The sequence below is a fragment of the Homo sapiens genome, chromosome 12 (genome assembly GCF_000001405.40).
Source record: "Homo sapiens chromosome 12, GRCh38.p14 Primary Assembly".
Taxonomy (NCBI): Eukaryota; Metazoa; Chordata; class Mammalia; order Primates; family Hominidae; genus Homo; species Homo sapiens.
In genome coordinates this window covers 51368106-51384138 of record NC_000012.12, presented here as the reverse complement: position 1 = coordinate 51384138, position 16033 = coordinate 51368106, and the positions used below count along the sequence as shown (strand labels likewise).

General features: G+C 49.1%; 1 protein-coding gene across 21 annotated transcripts in view, besides 4 other annotated features; it reads left to right on the top strand.

The window, feature by feature from the left end:
* Nucleotides 1-16033, top strand: part of GALNT6 (polypeptide N-acetylgalactosaminyltransferase 6) — a 40422-nt gene that overhangs the window by 7535 nt on the left and 16854 nt on the right. For 7 of the 21 annotated variants that reach the window (XM_024448815.2, XM_024448811.2, XM_047428178.1 and 4 more), the window contains 4 exons: nucleotides 557-678; nucleotides 1630-1826; nucleotides 4255-4848; nucleotides 6772-6944. In XM_024448815.2, coding sequence (XP_024304583.1) covers nucleotides 4358-4848; nucleotides 6772-6944 — 664 coding nt within the window. In that variant the 5' untranslated portion in view covers nucleotides 557-678; nucleotides 1630-1826; nucleotides 4255-4357. The remainder of the gene's footprint in view (nucleotides 1-556; nucleotides 679-1629; nucleotides 1827-4254; nucleotides 4849-6771; nucleotides 6945-16033) is intronic. The other 14 variants (XM_005268607.2, XM_017018745.3, XM_047428176.1 and 11 more) reach the window with 3 other exon arrangements.
* Nucleotides 3885-4384: an enhancer, noted in NCBI's record as "H3K4me1 hESC enhancer chr12:51773539-51774038 (GRCh37/hg19 assembly coordinates)". NCBI's record gives its function as "activates a minimal SCP1, AML or CMV promoter by ChIP-STARR-seq in naive H9 embryonic stem cells {active_cell/tissue: H9 hESC(naive)}" and the evidence as "EXISTENCE:reporter gene assay evidence [ECO:0000049][PMID:30033119]".
* Nucleotides 4385-4886: an enhancer, noted in NCBI's record as "H3K4me1 hESC enhancer chr12:51773037-51773538 (GRCh37/hg19 assembly coordinates)". NCBI's record gives its function as "activates a minimal SCP1, AML or CMV promoter by ChIP-STARR-seq in naive H9 embryonic stem cells {active_cell/tissue: H9 hESC(naive)}" and the evidence as "EXISTENCE:reporter gene assay evidence [ECO:0000049][PMID:30033119]".
* Nucleotides 12259-12825: an enhancer, noted in NCBI's record as "NANOG-H3K27ac hESC enhancer chr12:51765098-51765664 (GRCh37/hg19 assembly coordinates)". NCBI's record gives its function as "activates a minimal SCP1, AML or CMV promoter by ChIP-STARR-seq in primed H9 embryonic stem cells {active_cell/tissue: H9 hESC(primed)}" and the evidence as "EXISTENCE:reporter gene assay evidence [ECO:0000049][PMID:30033119]".
* Nucleotides 14664-14813: an enhancer, noted in NCBI's record as "active region_6379". NCBI's record gives its function as "activates an Ori minimal core promoter by ATAC-STARR-seq in GM12878 lymphoblastoid cells {active_cell/tissue: GM12878}" and the evidence as "EXISTENCE:reporter gene assay evidence [ECO:0000049][PMID:35858748]".

Below are 16033 nucleotides of genomic sequence, written 5' to 3'. Positions count from 1 at the left end.
CCCAAGGGTAGCTGGAGGAAAAAGACTTGGGAAGAAGTGCTGAGCCACAGCGAGAGGGAAATGAGTGGATGGGGGCTGCGGGCACACTTGCCAGGAAAGCAGGAGGCCAGGTGTGGGAGCCCAAAGGTGAGGGAGATATACAAGACACCAGGGGCGGATCTCGTGAAGCTTTGTACTTGAAACAATAGCAAAGAATAGCAGCTATTCTTTCTCCAAGGCTGGTGGAGGGGCGACCTCCACGACCTTGCTAACCATACTTCTGGGAATCATCTCCTACACAGGGAGCAGAAATCCTTAACCCCAAAGTCCTGTGGCTTGCACTAGATTCTGTGTCTCTTCTAAGGGACTCTTCCTGTTGCCCTCATGCTAAGCAAACAAACTAGAGAATGAGTGCCTCACCACCAAGGCTAATCCCAGGTGTCTCATTTCGGTTCAGGATGTGGTTAGTACCTTGAGGAACTGTAGGTTTGAGAGAGAAAGCTTCAGGCAGCCAGATGGGATTGAGAGATTAGATGCCTAGGAAGAGCTCAATTTAACCCTATATTTCTTTCTCCAGGGAAAATAAAAGAAGCAAAAACAGGCCCTGCTGTGAGGGACCACGAGGCAGTGCCAGGATGAAAGAGTTGGAGTAACCTAGGTGATTCTGAGTGAATCAGTCAGGAGGCCTTCCTGGAGGGGGTGAGTCTTGAGCACTGGCAACAGTTAGTAACTACAATCTTACCATGCCTTTGTTTCTAACTGTGCTCCCTCTTTCTTGCTGGAGTGGGAAGGTAGATGGAAAGTAGCAGGGAAGACGAAGCCTGCAGGACGGTTCAAAGCTGTCATGGCAAACACTCCCCCATTCTGCAGGCCTCTGTGTGGGCTTAGCCGGGACAGTTCCAGAACTGATGAGGTGTCTAGCTCAAGCAAATCCCCCTGTGCTAGCCCCAGCATAGCTCAACCTCTGTGACAAGAAACTCCTGCTACACTGAATCCCCATTTCCTCCCCGAAGCCTTCCTCAAACCCACAGGGAACTCTACCTCTCTCAGCTTAGCTCTTACTGTCTGTGCTATTCTGCTTTAATTTTATTCATTTTTGAATAAGTAATATAGTCAGGGTTCAAAGTACAAAAGAGTATTCAGTGAAAGGTCCTTTTCCTGCTCCTGAATCTCCCCTGGTCAGGTGCTTCCTTCACCTGGTCAGTGCTATCAGTTCTCGTTCTCCAATAAGATTTTCAAATCCCTTGGGGAAAGGAATTGAGCCTTTGTGTCCCTCTGTGTACCAGACGGGGTAAACTGTCCCACCCCATCACCCAAGGGGGTCTTCCTAGGCACCATACCCTCCCTCTTCCATCCACACTGCTACTAACTCTCCTGGGTCAGACTCCGAATGGGTCATCCAGCTGCCAAGCAGGTCCCTTTCCAAGATACCCTCCACCGCTGTCATATTGCTCTTCCTGTAATGCTGGGCTCCCAGCTTAACGCTTTATTACTCCCCATGCCTTGGGTCAAGGGCAAATGCTCCTCAGCATGATGAACAAGGCCCTTAGGACTTGGTTTCAGCCACCTCTGTAGGCCCAATTTCTGCTACTCCTGCCATACCAGACTGCTTACAGTTCTGTGACTGGCTCTTCTGTCTCCCACCTCTAGACCATTGCAGGTACTGTGCCTTCTGCCTGAAATGTGCTCACCTCGCCTCGCTGACTCCTACTCGCCAGTTAGTGTTCGGCCCATTTCTGCCCCCGTGAGATTTCTTCACAGATGTTGCCCTCCCCCATTTGCTGAGTTTCCTGCATGCCGGCTCCTTCAGCACTCAAGGGTACCTCTTTGATTCTGCTTCTCACAGGGTAATCTCTGTTTAAAATCTGATGCCCCCAATTGACTGTAGGATCCTTGAGGGCTGGCCTTGCACTTCTCTGTGTCCCCCGCCTCTTGCAGAGTACCTGGTAGAGGCAGTTATTCAGTAAATACTGGTGGAATAAACAAATCTCTCCTATCTCCTAGACAATAGTTAATACAAAATAGATGCTCAAAGAGATTTCTTTTGTTTGATTTTTGACGGTGCTGCTGAATCTGATGTTATAAAAGAAGCCACATTTGTACCCCAGTCCAGAATGAATCCACCTCCCCACTTGAGATCACGATGGCCACATACTCCCAAGGTCTCAGACACCAGGCCTCTCCACAGGCAGGAGCTTGTGCGTTTAAACAATAGCATTAAATAGTACAACCAGAGTTATTTTTAAGCAAAACATGCAGGGAGTAATGAACGTGGCTTTGGCCAAGGGCCAGGTGCTTGAGGATAACTGCTGGGAAGTGAAGCAGGGATTTATCATAATAATAGAAATAGTTGATACCATTTATTGAGGGCTTAGTGTGACAGGTGCTCTGCCAAACATTTTACCTACATTATCTGATTTAATCCTCCCCACAACCCTGTGAGTTAGGTATTAGTTGCCCCCACTTTATAGATGAGGAAATTGAGGCTTAGAGGGATTAAGTAAATTACCCAAGGGTCACACAGCTGCTAATGATCAAAACTAACACTTTGTGGGAACTTACCATGTGCAGAGACTGCTAAGCTTTGTCCATGAATTTTGTGGGGAAGGAGCATAATCCTTGTAACAACCCTAGGAGGTAGGTGCTACTACTAGAAGAGGAAGAACTGGAATTTGTGCCCAGGTCCCTTGCCATTGATGTCTAGTGCTTAACCAGTGAGCTTATGTGTCCAGAACTCTGCACAGAAAGTTCTGCAAGCATTCATCCTCTAGGGCATGGATCCACATGCCTGGGGGTGGAGCCTGGTGAACGCCCATGCCCAGCCCTGCCGGGAATGTCTTGTCATGAAATCTTAGGTTTCTGTTAAATTCTTTTTTATTAAATAGGAGTAGATTACAGATAACTTTTATTTATTTATTTTTAAAGACAGAATCTCTCTCTCGCCCATGCTGAAGAGCAATGGTGCGATTATAGCTCACTGCAGCCTTAACCTCCTGGGCTCCAGCAGTCCTCCTGCTTCAGCCTCCCAGGCAGCTAGGACTACAGGTGTGCACCACTACGCCTCGCTAATTTTTAAAATTTTTTATTGAGATGGGCTCTCAATACGTTGAGCAGACTGGTCTTGAACTCCTGGGCCCAAGCGATCCTCCCACCTCAGCCTCCCAAAGTGCTGGGATTACACCATGCTTGGCCAAGAAATATTTATAAAATACGTATAGGGTCTAAAGAATTACAGTCCACCAGCAGCCGCCATCCACTTTGAGAAAAAAACACTTTGAAGTCCCCCATTAACCATCTCTAATCCTGTACCGTTTTCTTCATCTTCAGAAACTGGTTATGTCATTTCTTTAGCTTTCTTTTTTTCGTGGGGAGACGGAGTCTTGCTCTGTTGCCCAGGCTGGAGTGCAGTGGCATGATCCTAGCCTACTGCAACCTCTGCCTCCCGGGTTCAAGTGACTCTCCTGCCTCAGCCTCCCAAGTAGCTGGGATTACAGGCATGCGCTACCACGCCCAGCTAATTTTTGTATTTTTAGTAGAGACAGGGTTTCACCATGTTGGCCAGGCTAGTCTTCTTTAGCTTTCTTTATAGCTTTATCACATATTTGTATTCAAGAACAAGATATTGTTTAATTTTAGCATGTTTTTACATTTTCTATAAGTGGAATCATACTGTATGTATCCTTTTGTCACTTGCTTTTTTCACCCAACAACACATCCACATTGTTGCATGGAGAAGTGGTTCATTCTTGGTCATCACTGTAGAGCACTGCACGGTATGGGTATTTTGCACTTTATTTATTCATTCTGCTAGTGGACTTAAAGGTTTTACCAGTTTGTTGCCATTTAAGTCAGTGTTGGCTTAAATGTTCTTGTACATACCTCTTGGTTTGCATCTACCAGAGTTTGTCTGGGATATAAAATGAGGAGTGGAATTGCTGGCTCAGGCTGTGTTCATTTCAAATTTTTCTTGATAATACCAAGTTGTTTCCCAAAGCCATAATGATTAAATCTCATGAGTTTAATGATTAAATCTCATGTAGTGTTTCAGTGTTCCAGTGACTCTAGATCCATGCATATTAGGATCTTAGGGCAGGAAAGAAACACTGCCTCCGGTCTCCTCATTTTATGGATGAAGGAAATGTAGATATGGGAAAGTTGTGGCCAATAAGGTGATGCCACCACTCAGCAACAGAGCCTGGCCTCGAACCCCAAGCACCCGACTCCCTCCTTACCCTGTGTTGGCTCACTTCTCTCTCTTGTCCCCTCCTTTCTCAGGCTGAGGCCCCAGCTTGTGGCCACCACAACGTATCAAGCTATCTCCAGGGTTGGGCTCAGGACTCAGAGCTGACGCAGCTGGGGTGCCCCTTGGTTCTGGAGGATGAGGCTCCTCCGCAGACGCCACATGCCCCTGCGCCTGGCCATGGTGGGCTGCGCCTTTGTGCTCTTCCTCTTCCTCCTGCATAGGGATGTGAGCAGCAGAGAGGAGGCCACAGAGAAGCCGTGGCTGAAGTCCCTGGTGAGCCGGAAGGATCACGTCCTGGACCTCATGCTGGAGGCCATGAACAACCTTAGAGATTCAATGCCCAAGCTCCAAATCAGGGCTCCAGAAGCCCAGCAGACTCTGTTCTCCATAAACCAGTCCTGCCTCCCTGGGTTCTATACCCCAGCTGAACTGAAGCCCTTCTGGGAACGGCCACCACAGGACCCCAATGCCCCTGGGGCAGATGGAAAAGCATTTCAGAAGAGCAAGTGGACCCCCCTGGAGACCCAGGAAAAGGAAGAAGGCTATAAGAAGCACTGTTTCAATGCCTTTGCCAGCGACCGGATCTCCCTGCAGAGGTCCCTGGGGCCAGACACCCGACCACCTGAGTAAGTAGCACCCAGAGTCCTTGTGGGGAGACCAGGGCTTTGCTAAAGGCATGGCTAGTATGGCCAGGGCCATAGATCAAGGGCCAGAGAAAGAGTTGAAGGGAATTTTATAATATGGGCAAGGATCTCCTCTATGCCTCACTTCTTTCCCAGAACAACTGTGCTGATCCCAGGGGTTGTGATTCAAGGGTATTATGGTCAGGCCAGAGGCCCAGGGAGACCTGTGAGAGTGAAATGCAATTATGAAAGTGAGATGATGTGGAAGAAGGAACTCAGCCTGGCACCAGGACCTGGCACGGGGTGACTGGGGAGACCTGATACCAAGCTGTGGTTTCAGTAGCTTTCTCCTCTACTGAGGCCTGCTCCAGAGACTGTGGGACTCTAATGCTGAGCTGTTTGGGGGGGGGGTGGGCATTTCTTAACAGCAACCCTGGTGGTTAGGAATATCCTCACACCTGGTTTCCTCCAGTGAAGGCCCACAAGGCCGGAATTGATTCCAACCTTTATCTGAAGTTGTTTATAGCCTCAATCTTGCACAATGAGATCTCACTTAGATCTTTGAGTGGCAGCCCCCTCCCTCTAACGCCCCCATGGCTGCATTCCCATGATCCTCAAGTTAAAGACAGTGTGTCTTCCCCACTTAGCCTTTGTCTTTTCCAGGTCAAGTGTTATACCCTATTTGGCCTTTTCTCAAATGGCAGCCCTCATCCCCAGATTTCGTGAGTCTTTAGGGCTGTGAACCTGAGGTTCTTGAGACTTGAGCCAAGTATGATAGCCCTAGAACAAGGGGCCACTTGAAGCTATCAGGAATTCCTCAGCAGAGAAGGGCACTGGGGCCAGGCACAGTGGCTCATGCCTATAATCCCAGCACTATGGAAGGCTGAGGTGGGTGGATCTCTTGAGGCCAGGAGTTCAAGACCAGCCTGGCCAACATGGTGAAAGCCTGTCTCTACTAAAAATACAAAAAAATTAGCCCGGCATGGTAGTGGGTGCCTGTAATCCCAGCTACTCAGAAGGCTGAAGGACAAGAATCGCTTGAACCTGGGAGGTGGAGGTTGCAGGGAGCTAAGATCATACCACTGCACTCCAGCCTGAGTGACAGAGCAAGACTCTGTCTCAAAAAAAACAGACAGAGAGAAGAGCACTGGGTGTGACAGCAGCCAGAGGAGGAAGACAGGGAATCTCTCTGGAGGGTCCCCAAGAAATCCTCTGACCAGCAGAGGAGGTCAAGGAAAGGGTGTGAGGTCACATGATTCCTTGAGATCCAGGATTCACACATTCCCACCCCAACCCTGAGATAGAGTGTCAAGAAGGTAGCAGCATGGCCAAGTGCCACAGAGTAGCTGGAGTGGATGAAGTTGGAAGAAAGGTTGCAGGAAATTGACTGTGATAGTGGTGTCAAATCACAGGGAGTTAATGAGAAAATGGATTAGAGAGGAACTGTACGCTGTAAAGGGAAGAGCCTTTTCTTCTCATTGAGTATGGAAATCATAGTCACTTTTCTCAGATGTCAAATTTGGCCTTTATTACCTACCCCTCTGGGACCTCTGGATTGGATTACATTTTATGCAGTTCACATATTACGGAGGAAGAGAGCCAGCCCTGGGAACTCCTAGCCTGAGAGCAGATAGCAGATGAAGGAAGGGGGTGGAGGAGCCTCAGCATCACAGCTGGGGCACTGAGCCAGCTCTGTGGGGATGGATTTTGGAGTGGTTTGGCTAGAACCTGTGCAAAGGCTCAGGGTGGGTGGCAGATACCGGGGAAGACAGGAACAGGGAACAGCTGTTCCCACCTGCTATAGAGAATGTAGGCTGTGGTTCAGAGGAGTGGAGGATGGTCTGGGGGAGTCTCTGGATGGGGCCCTCCCCACACCTGGTACTCCCAGGGACCAGGAGAACTTTGTCCGTACTTTCATACTTCCAGGTGTGTGGACCAGAAGTTCCGGCGCTGCCCCCCACTGGCCACCACCAGCGTGATCATTGTGTTCCACAACGAAGCCTGGTCCACACTGCTGCGAACAGTGTACAGCGTCCTACACACCACCCCTGCCATCTTGCTCAAGGAGATCATACTGGTGGATGATGCCAGCACAGAGGGTGAGGCTGGAGGGGCCCAGAGGAGGGGGCCGGGGTCTCCCCTGGGCACTCAAAGGAGGAGGGCAGTTCCTTTCAAGGGAGCAGGCACCACCTCATGAGCCTGTTGCCTGACATCACAGCTCATCTTAAAGGCCAGGAGCAGGAAGAAGTCAGGTAGGGGCAGGTAGACCATGCTTCCTTCACACCTCAGCCAAAGAGCTCCAAGAGCTTTTCAGCTCTGGCTTCAAGACTCCCTGAACGCTGCCAAGGCCAACCCTAACTCAGAAATGCTGGGAGAGACAGGGCAGAGGGTAGGGACAGGCCTTCACCTCTGTTTCCTACCCGCTGGGCCACTCTTCTGCTCTTGAAGACTCCCCAACCAGCCCTTTTTGCCATAGCTGTTGATAGGTAAGTGGGGTTGCTCACCAAACTTCCAGCCTTCAATTCCACAAACATCTACTGAGTACTGTGTGCCTGGCTCTGACCCAGGCAGAGGGGATGCCATGACAAAGGAGACAGACCCTGCCCTGAAAATACTAAAAACCCCCATAGGTCAGAAGCCTTTTTTTTTTTTTTTTTTTTGAGATGGAGTTTCGCTCTTGTTGCCCAGGCTGGAGTACAATGGTGTGATCTCAGCTCACCACAACCTCCGCCTCCCAGGTTCAAGCGATTCTCCTGCCTCAGCCTCCCTAGTAGCTGGGATTACAGGCATGTGCCACCACACCCAGCTAATTTTGTATTTTTAATAGAGATGGGGTTTCTCCATGTTGGTCAGGTTGGTCTCGAACTCCCGAACTCAGGTAATCTGCCTGCTCCAGCCTCCCAAAGTGCTGGGATTACAGGCATGAGCCACCGTGCCCGGCCAGAAGCCTCTTACAACACTAGCCACAGTGCTGTGGCAGTGATGCACCTGTAACAGGTGTGAAAGGGCATGGACTGCAGAGTCCAACACCTAGGAATTCAAATCCCAGCTCTGACCCTTCCTAGCTCTGTGACCTTGGACAAGCATTTGGCCTCCCTGAACCTGTTTCCTCTTCAAAAAATGGGGGCAGACCGGGCACAGTGGCTCAAGCCTGTAATTTCAGCACTTTGGGAGGCTGAAGCGGACAGATCACTTGAGGTCAGGAGTTTGAGACCAGCCTGGCCAACATGGTGAAACCCCATCTCTACCCAAAATACAAAAAATAATTAGCCAGGTGTGGTGGTGCGCGCTTGTAGTCCCAGCTGCTCGGGAGGCTGAGGCACAAGAATCACCTGAACCCGGGAGGCGTAGGCTGCAGTGAGCCAAGATGGCACCACTGCTTTTCTGCCTGAGAGACAGAGTGAGACTCCTTCTCAAAAAAACAAAACAAAAAAAAGGACTGGGCGTGGTGGCTCACGCCTGTAATCCTAGCACTCTGGGAGGCCGAGGCAGGCAGATTGCTTAAGGTCAGGAGTTCGAGACAGCCCGGCCAATATGGTGAAACCCCGTATCTACTAAAAATACAAAAATTAGCCAGGCGTGGCAGAGCATGCCTGTAGTCCCAACTACTCGGGAGGCTGAGGCAGGAGAATCGCTTGAACCCAGGAGGCGGAGGTTGCAGTGAGCCGAGATCATGTTACTGCACTCCAGCCTGGGCTACAGAGTGAGACTCCATCTCAAAAAAAAAAAAAAAGAGCAGTTGAGTCCCTTACATGGTGGGTGAGGGATATGAGATAGGTCATAAATGAGATTCATGTGCCACAGAGTGGCTGGCATCAAGTAAGAGTGTCACAAGCATGCATTCCATTTTATTCATGGTACGAGAACAATGCACCATGGAGTATGTAGCCAGGAGGTGCCATTTCTGCCTGGCGTGGCTAGGGCTGGTCTGCAGTGGAAGCCAGATTGGAGCTGGGCCTTAAAGGATGAGTGTCTAAGAGAGAAGAGTGGATGAAGGGCATTCCCACAAGAGAATGGCATAAGCACAGTCCTAAAGACATGAATGTGTTTGTTAAAGAGATCTGGTGTGGCTGAAGCTTAGGTTTGTTTAGGAAATGAGACTTAAAAGATGTTAAATTGGCCAGGGACAGTGGCTCACCCCTGTAATCCCAGCACTTAGGGAGGCCGAGGCGGGTGGATCACTTGAGCCCAGGAGTTCAAGACAGCCTGGGCAACATGTCAAGACCTTTTTTCTATAAAAATTACAAAAATTAGCCTGGCATGACGGCATGTGCCTGTAGTCCCAGCTACTCGGGAGGCTGAGCCAGAGCATGACCCTGTCTCAAAAAAAAAAATGTTGAATTGACATTCATGTCATGCTAAAAGCATTTATTTAGAAAGTAAGAAGGAGTCGTTGAAAGTGTTTCATCTGTACTGTGACTTCATTTCAGAAGGATGGCAGCTTTGGAGGAGGATAATCGGCAGGAAGAGAGGCAGAGGACTCACAGTCTGGAGAGGAAGTTCTTACACTCACTTGAGAGTAGGAGATGATGGGGCCTGAACTAGGAAAGGCTGTGGGACTGAGACACCTTTAGGCTGAGAGTCTCCACAAGCTTAGCCCTCCTCGTAGGAGGCATGTGGTGTCTGGGGCTCTCCCAGATTGACCTCCTGTGCTCAAACTCCCAATAGTGAGGGCAGGAACTGACTCCACACTTCCCAGTGTAAGCGCTGGGGCCACTCCAGTAGAGCTGCTTCCTGTCCTTGTCCTCCCCCAGCCTCCCTCCTTCCTCTAGGTTAGGGGTGATGCTGAAAAGAGGACTAGGGCTGTGGAAGGAAGGGCTGAGTGTGAGCCCTGTTGAGTTCATTTCTTCAGGAAGCTCACATCTTCCCAGGGAAGACAGATACTTGGCAGCACTTATAAAGCAAGGCCAGACCAGCCTGGGCAACATATCAAAATCCCATCTCTACAAAAATAAAAAATTAGCAGGCATGGTGGTATTTGCCTGTGGTCCCAGCTACTTGGGAGGCTGAGGTGGGAGGATCACTTGAGCCCAGGAAATTGAGGCTGCAGTGAGCTGTGATTGCACCATTGCACTCCAGCATGGATGGCAGAGTGAGACCTTGTCTCTAAAAAAGATACAAATAAAGTAAAATAGGCCAAGCACAGTAGCTCATGCCTGTAATCCCAGAACTTTGGGAGGCTGTGGCAGGAGGATTGCTTGAGGCCAGGAGTTCAAGACCAGCCTGGGCAATGTCACAAGACCCCATCTCTATAAAAAATAGAAAAGTTAGCTGGGCACGGTGGCATGTGCCTGTGGTTCCAGCTACTTGGAGGGCTGAGGTGGAAGGATTGCTTGAGCCCAGCAGGCTGAGACTGCAGTGAGCCTTGACTGCACCATTGTACTCCAGCCTAGGCAATAGAGTGAGACCCAGTCTCTAAAAAAAAATAATAAATAAATCAAGGCAAGCAAGTATCAGGGATGCAATGACAGGGTCTGGTGGACAAGGAATGTATAGATTAGGCTTCTGGAAAGGGAAGGGTGAAGAGTTTGGCAGAGATGGGAGGAGCTTGGCAGTGATCTCTAGGGAATCTTTGTAGCAATGGAAAGGTTGTATGGAATGGAAGCAAGCATATTAGCGGTCCTTCCTCTCAAACTGGGTTCTTTCGTTATCTTTCTCCTCCTAACCCTATGCTACCCATCCTTCGGAAGCTCTTTCACCTGAATCTCTTGTACTGGAGTGTATTAGTCCATTCTCATTTATAAAGGAGAGAGGTTTAATTAACTCACAGTTCTGCAGGGCTGGGGAGACCTCAGGAAACCTATAATCATGGCAGAAGGGGAAGCAAACATGTCCTTCCTCATGAGGTGTCAGGAGAGAGAAGAATGAGAGCCGAGCAAAAGGGGAAGCCCCTCATAAAACCATCAGATTTCGTGAGAACTTACTATCACAAGGATAGCATGGTGGAAACTGCCCCATGATTCAATTATCTCCCACTGGGTCCCTTCCATCACATGTGGGGATTATGGGACCTACGACTCAAGATGAGATTTGGGTGAGGAAACAGCCAAACCATATCATTTCACCACTAACCCCTCCCAAATCTCATGTCCTCACATTTCAAAACACAATCATGCCTTTCCAACAGTCCCCCCAAAGTCTTAGCTAATTCCAGCATTAACCCAAAAGTCCAAGTCCAAACTCCCATCTGAGACAAGGCAAGTCCCTTCCCCTATGAGCCTGTAAAATCAAAAGCAAGTTAAGTCACTTCCTAGATACAATGGAGGTATAGGCATTGCGTAAATACAACCATTTGAAATGGGAGAAATTAGCCAAAACAGAGGGGCTACAGGCCCCATGCAAATCGAAAATCCAACAGGGCATTCATTAAGCCTTAAAGTTCCAAAGTGATTTCCTTTGACTTCGTGTCTCACATCCAGGTCACGCTGATGCAAGAGGTGGGCTCCCGTAGCCTTGGACGTGGGGGTTCTAAACTGTTAACTTTTCACCCTAAACTTTGTGACTCTGTGAGCTGCAAGTGCCCAGGTAGGCAACTCCTCTGACTAGCTAGACAAGTGACATAATGCCAGGCTGGCATAGGCAGCATCTAACAGGCAGAGTAGCCTGTGTTCAGTAGGGCAGAGTTGGCAGTAGCCCCAGTATCCCCTCCAGAGCACCCGCCCCTAGCAGGCCACCATATACACGTTCACCTTCTCTCTGTCTGTCCTGGACTTGTTGCCCTGGACTCTCTTCTAAAGCCAATTCTCTCCAAAGGCCAATTCCAGCATCTCTAAATCATCTGCATGGTCAGGACGCACTGGCTCACACCTGTAATCCCAGCACTTTGGGAGGCTGAGGTGGGAAAATCACTTGAGCCCAGGAGTTCAAGACCATCCTGGGCAACATAGTAAGACTCTGTCTTTACAAAAAAATAAAAAATTAGCTGGGCATGGTGGTATGTGCCTGTAGTCCCAGCTACTCGAGAGGCTGAGGTGGGAGGGTCACCTGAACTCAGGAGGTCAAGGTTGCAGTGAGCCCTGATCATGCCACTGTATTCAGCATGGGTGACAGAGCGACACCCTGTGTCAAAAACAAAAACAAAACAATCACCTGCCTGAAAAACCTAAGCTAGTCATTCTTATTTTTCTGGGTCCTGGCATCCTTTCAGAATCTGTTAAAATCCCTAGAATAGTGCACCACTGCCCACAATAATATGCAAAACCCACATTTTTGCATTTAATTCCAGGGAATTTGTGGACCCTATGATAAACAACCCTACCCAGAGGGCTTTCAGACGCTAGAGATACTTTAAGCAACATTCAGTTCAGTGAGGAAAGGAGGAAAAAACCCTCAGATCCATGGTCAGAAATCTCTGCCGTCCACAGTGGGATAAAATTTCCCACACGTTTGACTGTTTGATCAGATTAACCAGCTCTCATTACACACACACACAAACAGGACTGTGTCTCTGCCGAAATACAATGTCCCTGCTCTCTGACCTCCACTCCAGGCACCCAGTAGTAGCCCTATGAGAGTGAGTCTAAGGGCATTTGATACCATGGGGGAGGAGACCGCGTGCTGAGCTGGGGAGCTTTTTCTTCCCCACCTCTGAGTCAGAACCAGGGCACAGACCTCATTCCTGAGTGGCTAGGTCAGCAGCCAGGGTTCCCTCCCTGTCTGGCACACTCCACCAGCTTAACTAAATTAGAGGGAAAAAAAAGAAGAATGCAGGGCAATGGGTTAGTGAGTGAGTAATTAGGGAGCTCTTTTCACCGGAGTAGCCAGGAAAGACTACTCTTAGTACTCCCTGCAAAGGGAGCAGCCAACACAGAGGCCTGAGGCTTGACTTGTTAATGAGGCAGAAAGAAGACAGTGTGGCTTAAACAAAGTAAGCCAGGGAGCAGAAAGAGTGCTGGTGGAGTGGGTGTAAGGAGCCGGGCCCATGGCTCATGCCTGTTAATTCCAGCACTTTGAGAGGCCGAGGCAAGAGAACCCTTGAGGTCAGGAGTTTGGGACCAGCCTGGCCAACATGGAGAAACCCCGTCTCTACTAAAAATACAAAAATTAGCCAGGCATGGTGGTGGGCACCTGTAATCCCAGCTACTCAGGAGGCTGAGGCAGAAGAATTGCTTGAACCCCGGAGGCGGAGGTTGCAGTGAGCTGAGATCACACCATTGCACTCCAGCCTGGGCGACAAGAGCAAAACTCCATCTCAAATAATAATAATAATAATAATAATAATAATAATAATAATAATAATTTTTTAAAAGGCTAGCGGGACCAAATTGTGAGACCTCCGTAAGCCACCGACAGTGTTTGGATTTTTCATGTGTGTATGTAGTAAAAGGCACGACATAAAACGTATCATCTTCACGGTTTCAGTCCACAGTTTATTGATTTTAAATGCATTCACATTATTGTGCAACCATCTCCGGAACTTTTTTTTTTCCCTTTTTTAATAAGATGGGGTCTCACCATGTTGACCAGGCTGGTCTGGAACTCCCAGCCTCCCAAAGTGCTAGGATTACATGCGTGAGTCACCACAACCAGCCAATAACTTATTTTTTGTCATCCCAAACTGAAATTCTGTACCTATTAAACATGAATTCTCCACGCTGTCCTCCCCACAACCCCTGGCAACCACCCTTCTACTTTCTGTCTCTATGAATTTGATTATCATAAGTGGAATCATACAGTATTTGTCCTTTTGTGACTGGCTTATTTCACTTAGCATAATGCCTTCAAGATTCATCCATGTTGTAACATTTGTCAGAATTTACTTTATTTTTTTTGAGATGGAGTTCGTTCTTGTTGCCCATTGGCGCAATCTTGGCTCACCGCAACCTCCACCTCCTGGGTTCAAGTGATTCTCCTGCCTCGGCCTCCCGAGTAGTTGGGATTACAGGCACGTGCTGGCTAATTCTGAATTTTTAGTAGAGACAGGGTTTCTCCGTGTTGGTCAGGCTGGTCTCGAACTCCTGACCTCAGGTGATCCACCCACCTTGGCCTCCCAAAGTGCTGAGATTACAGGCGTGAGCCACCAAACCCGGCCCAGAATTTACTTTTTAAGGCTGAATACTATTCTATTGTATGTATACACCACATTTTGTTTGTCCGTTCATTCGCTGATGGACACTGAGGCTGTTTCTGCCTTTGGCTATCGTGACTAATGCTGCTGTGAACATTGGTGTGCAAATATCCAAGTCTCTGCTTTCAGCTCTTCAGGGTATATGCCCAAAAGTGGAATTGCTGGATCATATGGTAATTCTGTCTTTAGTTTTTTTTAAGGAACCATCATACCTTTCCATAAGGAAACACCATGGATTTGTTTTTAAATACAATTTGAAGCCGCTGTAGTGACATGATCTGATTTATGATTTTTAGAGAGAATTTTACTTCTCACAGTAGCTGCCGTGTCAAGAATAGATTGAGGAGAGTGGTATAGAAGGCAGAAAAGCAGTGACTGTGGGGATGAGAGAGAGAGCTGGCAGTACCTGCAGATGTGCTGATTGTGGAAGGGGACAGCAGGGGGGATTCTAGCATGACTTCCAGGTTAGAGCAGCTGGAGGGATGCTGGCACCGTGTACTGACGTGAGGGAGACTGGGGGGCAGATTTGCAGGGGAAATTCAGAGCCTGTTTTGGGCATATGTTGAATTTTCCATTTTGTTCCACATCCAAGTGAAGATGGCAAGGTCAGGAAGGAATCCCTGGGAGCCATCTGCATGATACTTCAGATCATGGAACTGAGTGCGGTGTCTGTGTTGGCATCCCAGGGGTCTTGTGGACTTGAGTTGTGAGGAGTGAAGCTGGTTGGGGTGGTGGGGTGTTGAACCTAAGTTGGAAGGCTGTCACGGCGGGGACATGAGTGTGTGGCTGGGCTCACCGGTACAGCTATGCTCAGCTCCAGTCTCCTCAGTTCTGGGTCTGTCCAGTAGGTCTGGGGGTGGAACAGGTGGAGTATCACGAGGGGCATTGCTTAGGGGAGTTGTCTCCCCAGAAGGGCTTGAGGCCAGAGGCTGGAAGCCTCTCAGGCTGAGAATCCCTGGGTCTGGCCTCACCAGACTGGAAGGAAGGCGTGGGAGAAGGGCTTTGTAGTGCTCGGGGCCCCCCCTGAGGTTCACAGCTCAGTGCTTCACTGTCTCTCACCACAAAACCCACTTCCTATGATGTTTTGTCCGTGGGTTATCTCCACTACCGTGAACTTCCTGTGCGCAGAGCTGGGCAAGCTCTCGGGGAAACACAGCAGCCATGCTGAGGAGCCTGGGCTTCCTCCCTCCTTCCTGTCAGGGCCAGCACCCGGGGCTGCAGGTGCACTATGAGTCTCAAAGGGCAGGACCCAGACCAGGCCCCTCCCTTCCCAGAACAGCATCTGGCACCTGGCAGCACATTGACAGACATTTGTGGAGTGAGTGCTGGGCTGAGGCTGCTGCATGAGGCTGATTTTGATTCCTGAGGTCCTGGCCCCCAGAGATAAGAGGCCTCATTCCTGGAGTTAAGTAAGATACAGCCCCCTCCTCAGATGACTGCCTGAAGAATCCATTCATAAATGAGCGCCATGTCATAATCACCTCACCTGTCTGTCCAGTAGGATTGAAGAAGGAAAAAGTGGGCGGGGCGTAGTGGCTCACGCCTGTAATTCCAACTCTTTGGGAGGCCGAGGCGGGCAGATCACTTGAGGTCAGGAATTCGAGACCAGCCTGGCCAACATGGTGAAGCCCCATCTTCACAAAAAATACAAAAAATTAGCGGGGCGTGGTGGCAGGTGCCAATAATCTCAGCTACTTGGGAGGCTGAAGCAGGATAATTGCTTGAACCCAGGAGGTGGAGGTTGTGGTGAGTCGAGATTGCACCACTGCACTCCAGCCTGGGCGACAGAGTAAGACTCTGTCTCCAAAAAAAAGAAGAAAAAAAAAAAAAACATGGAAAAAAAAAGAAGGAAAAAGCTGAAATTCCAAATTATAGAGACTTTCCTTCTCCTAGGCGCCACTCTCCAGGACAGTGACTAAAGAACAGCTTCAACAAACCCCTTTCTCTCCCTTTCCCTCCCGGGATCTCACACACAGGGAAATGGCAAGGCCTTGGGTGACTGCGAGAGGAAGCAGAGACCACCTTGAAACTCGGGTGCATTAAGTCCTTGGCCTTCTCATCTTAATCTGCTCCAGAATAAAAAAATTTAAAAAAAAAAGTCCGTGGCCTCACTGGTGGTCA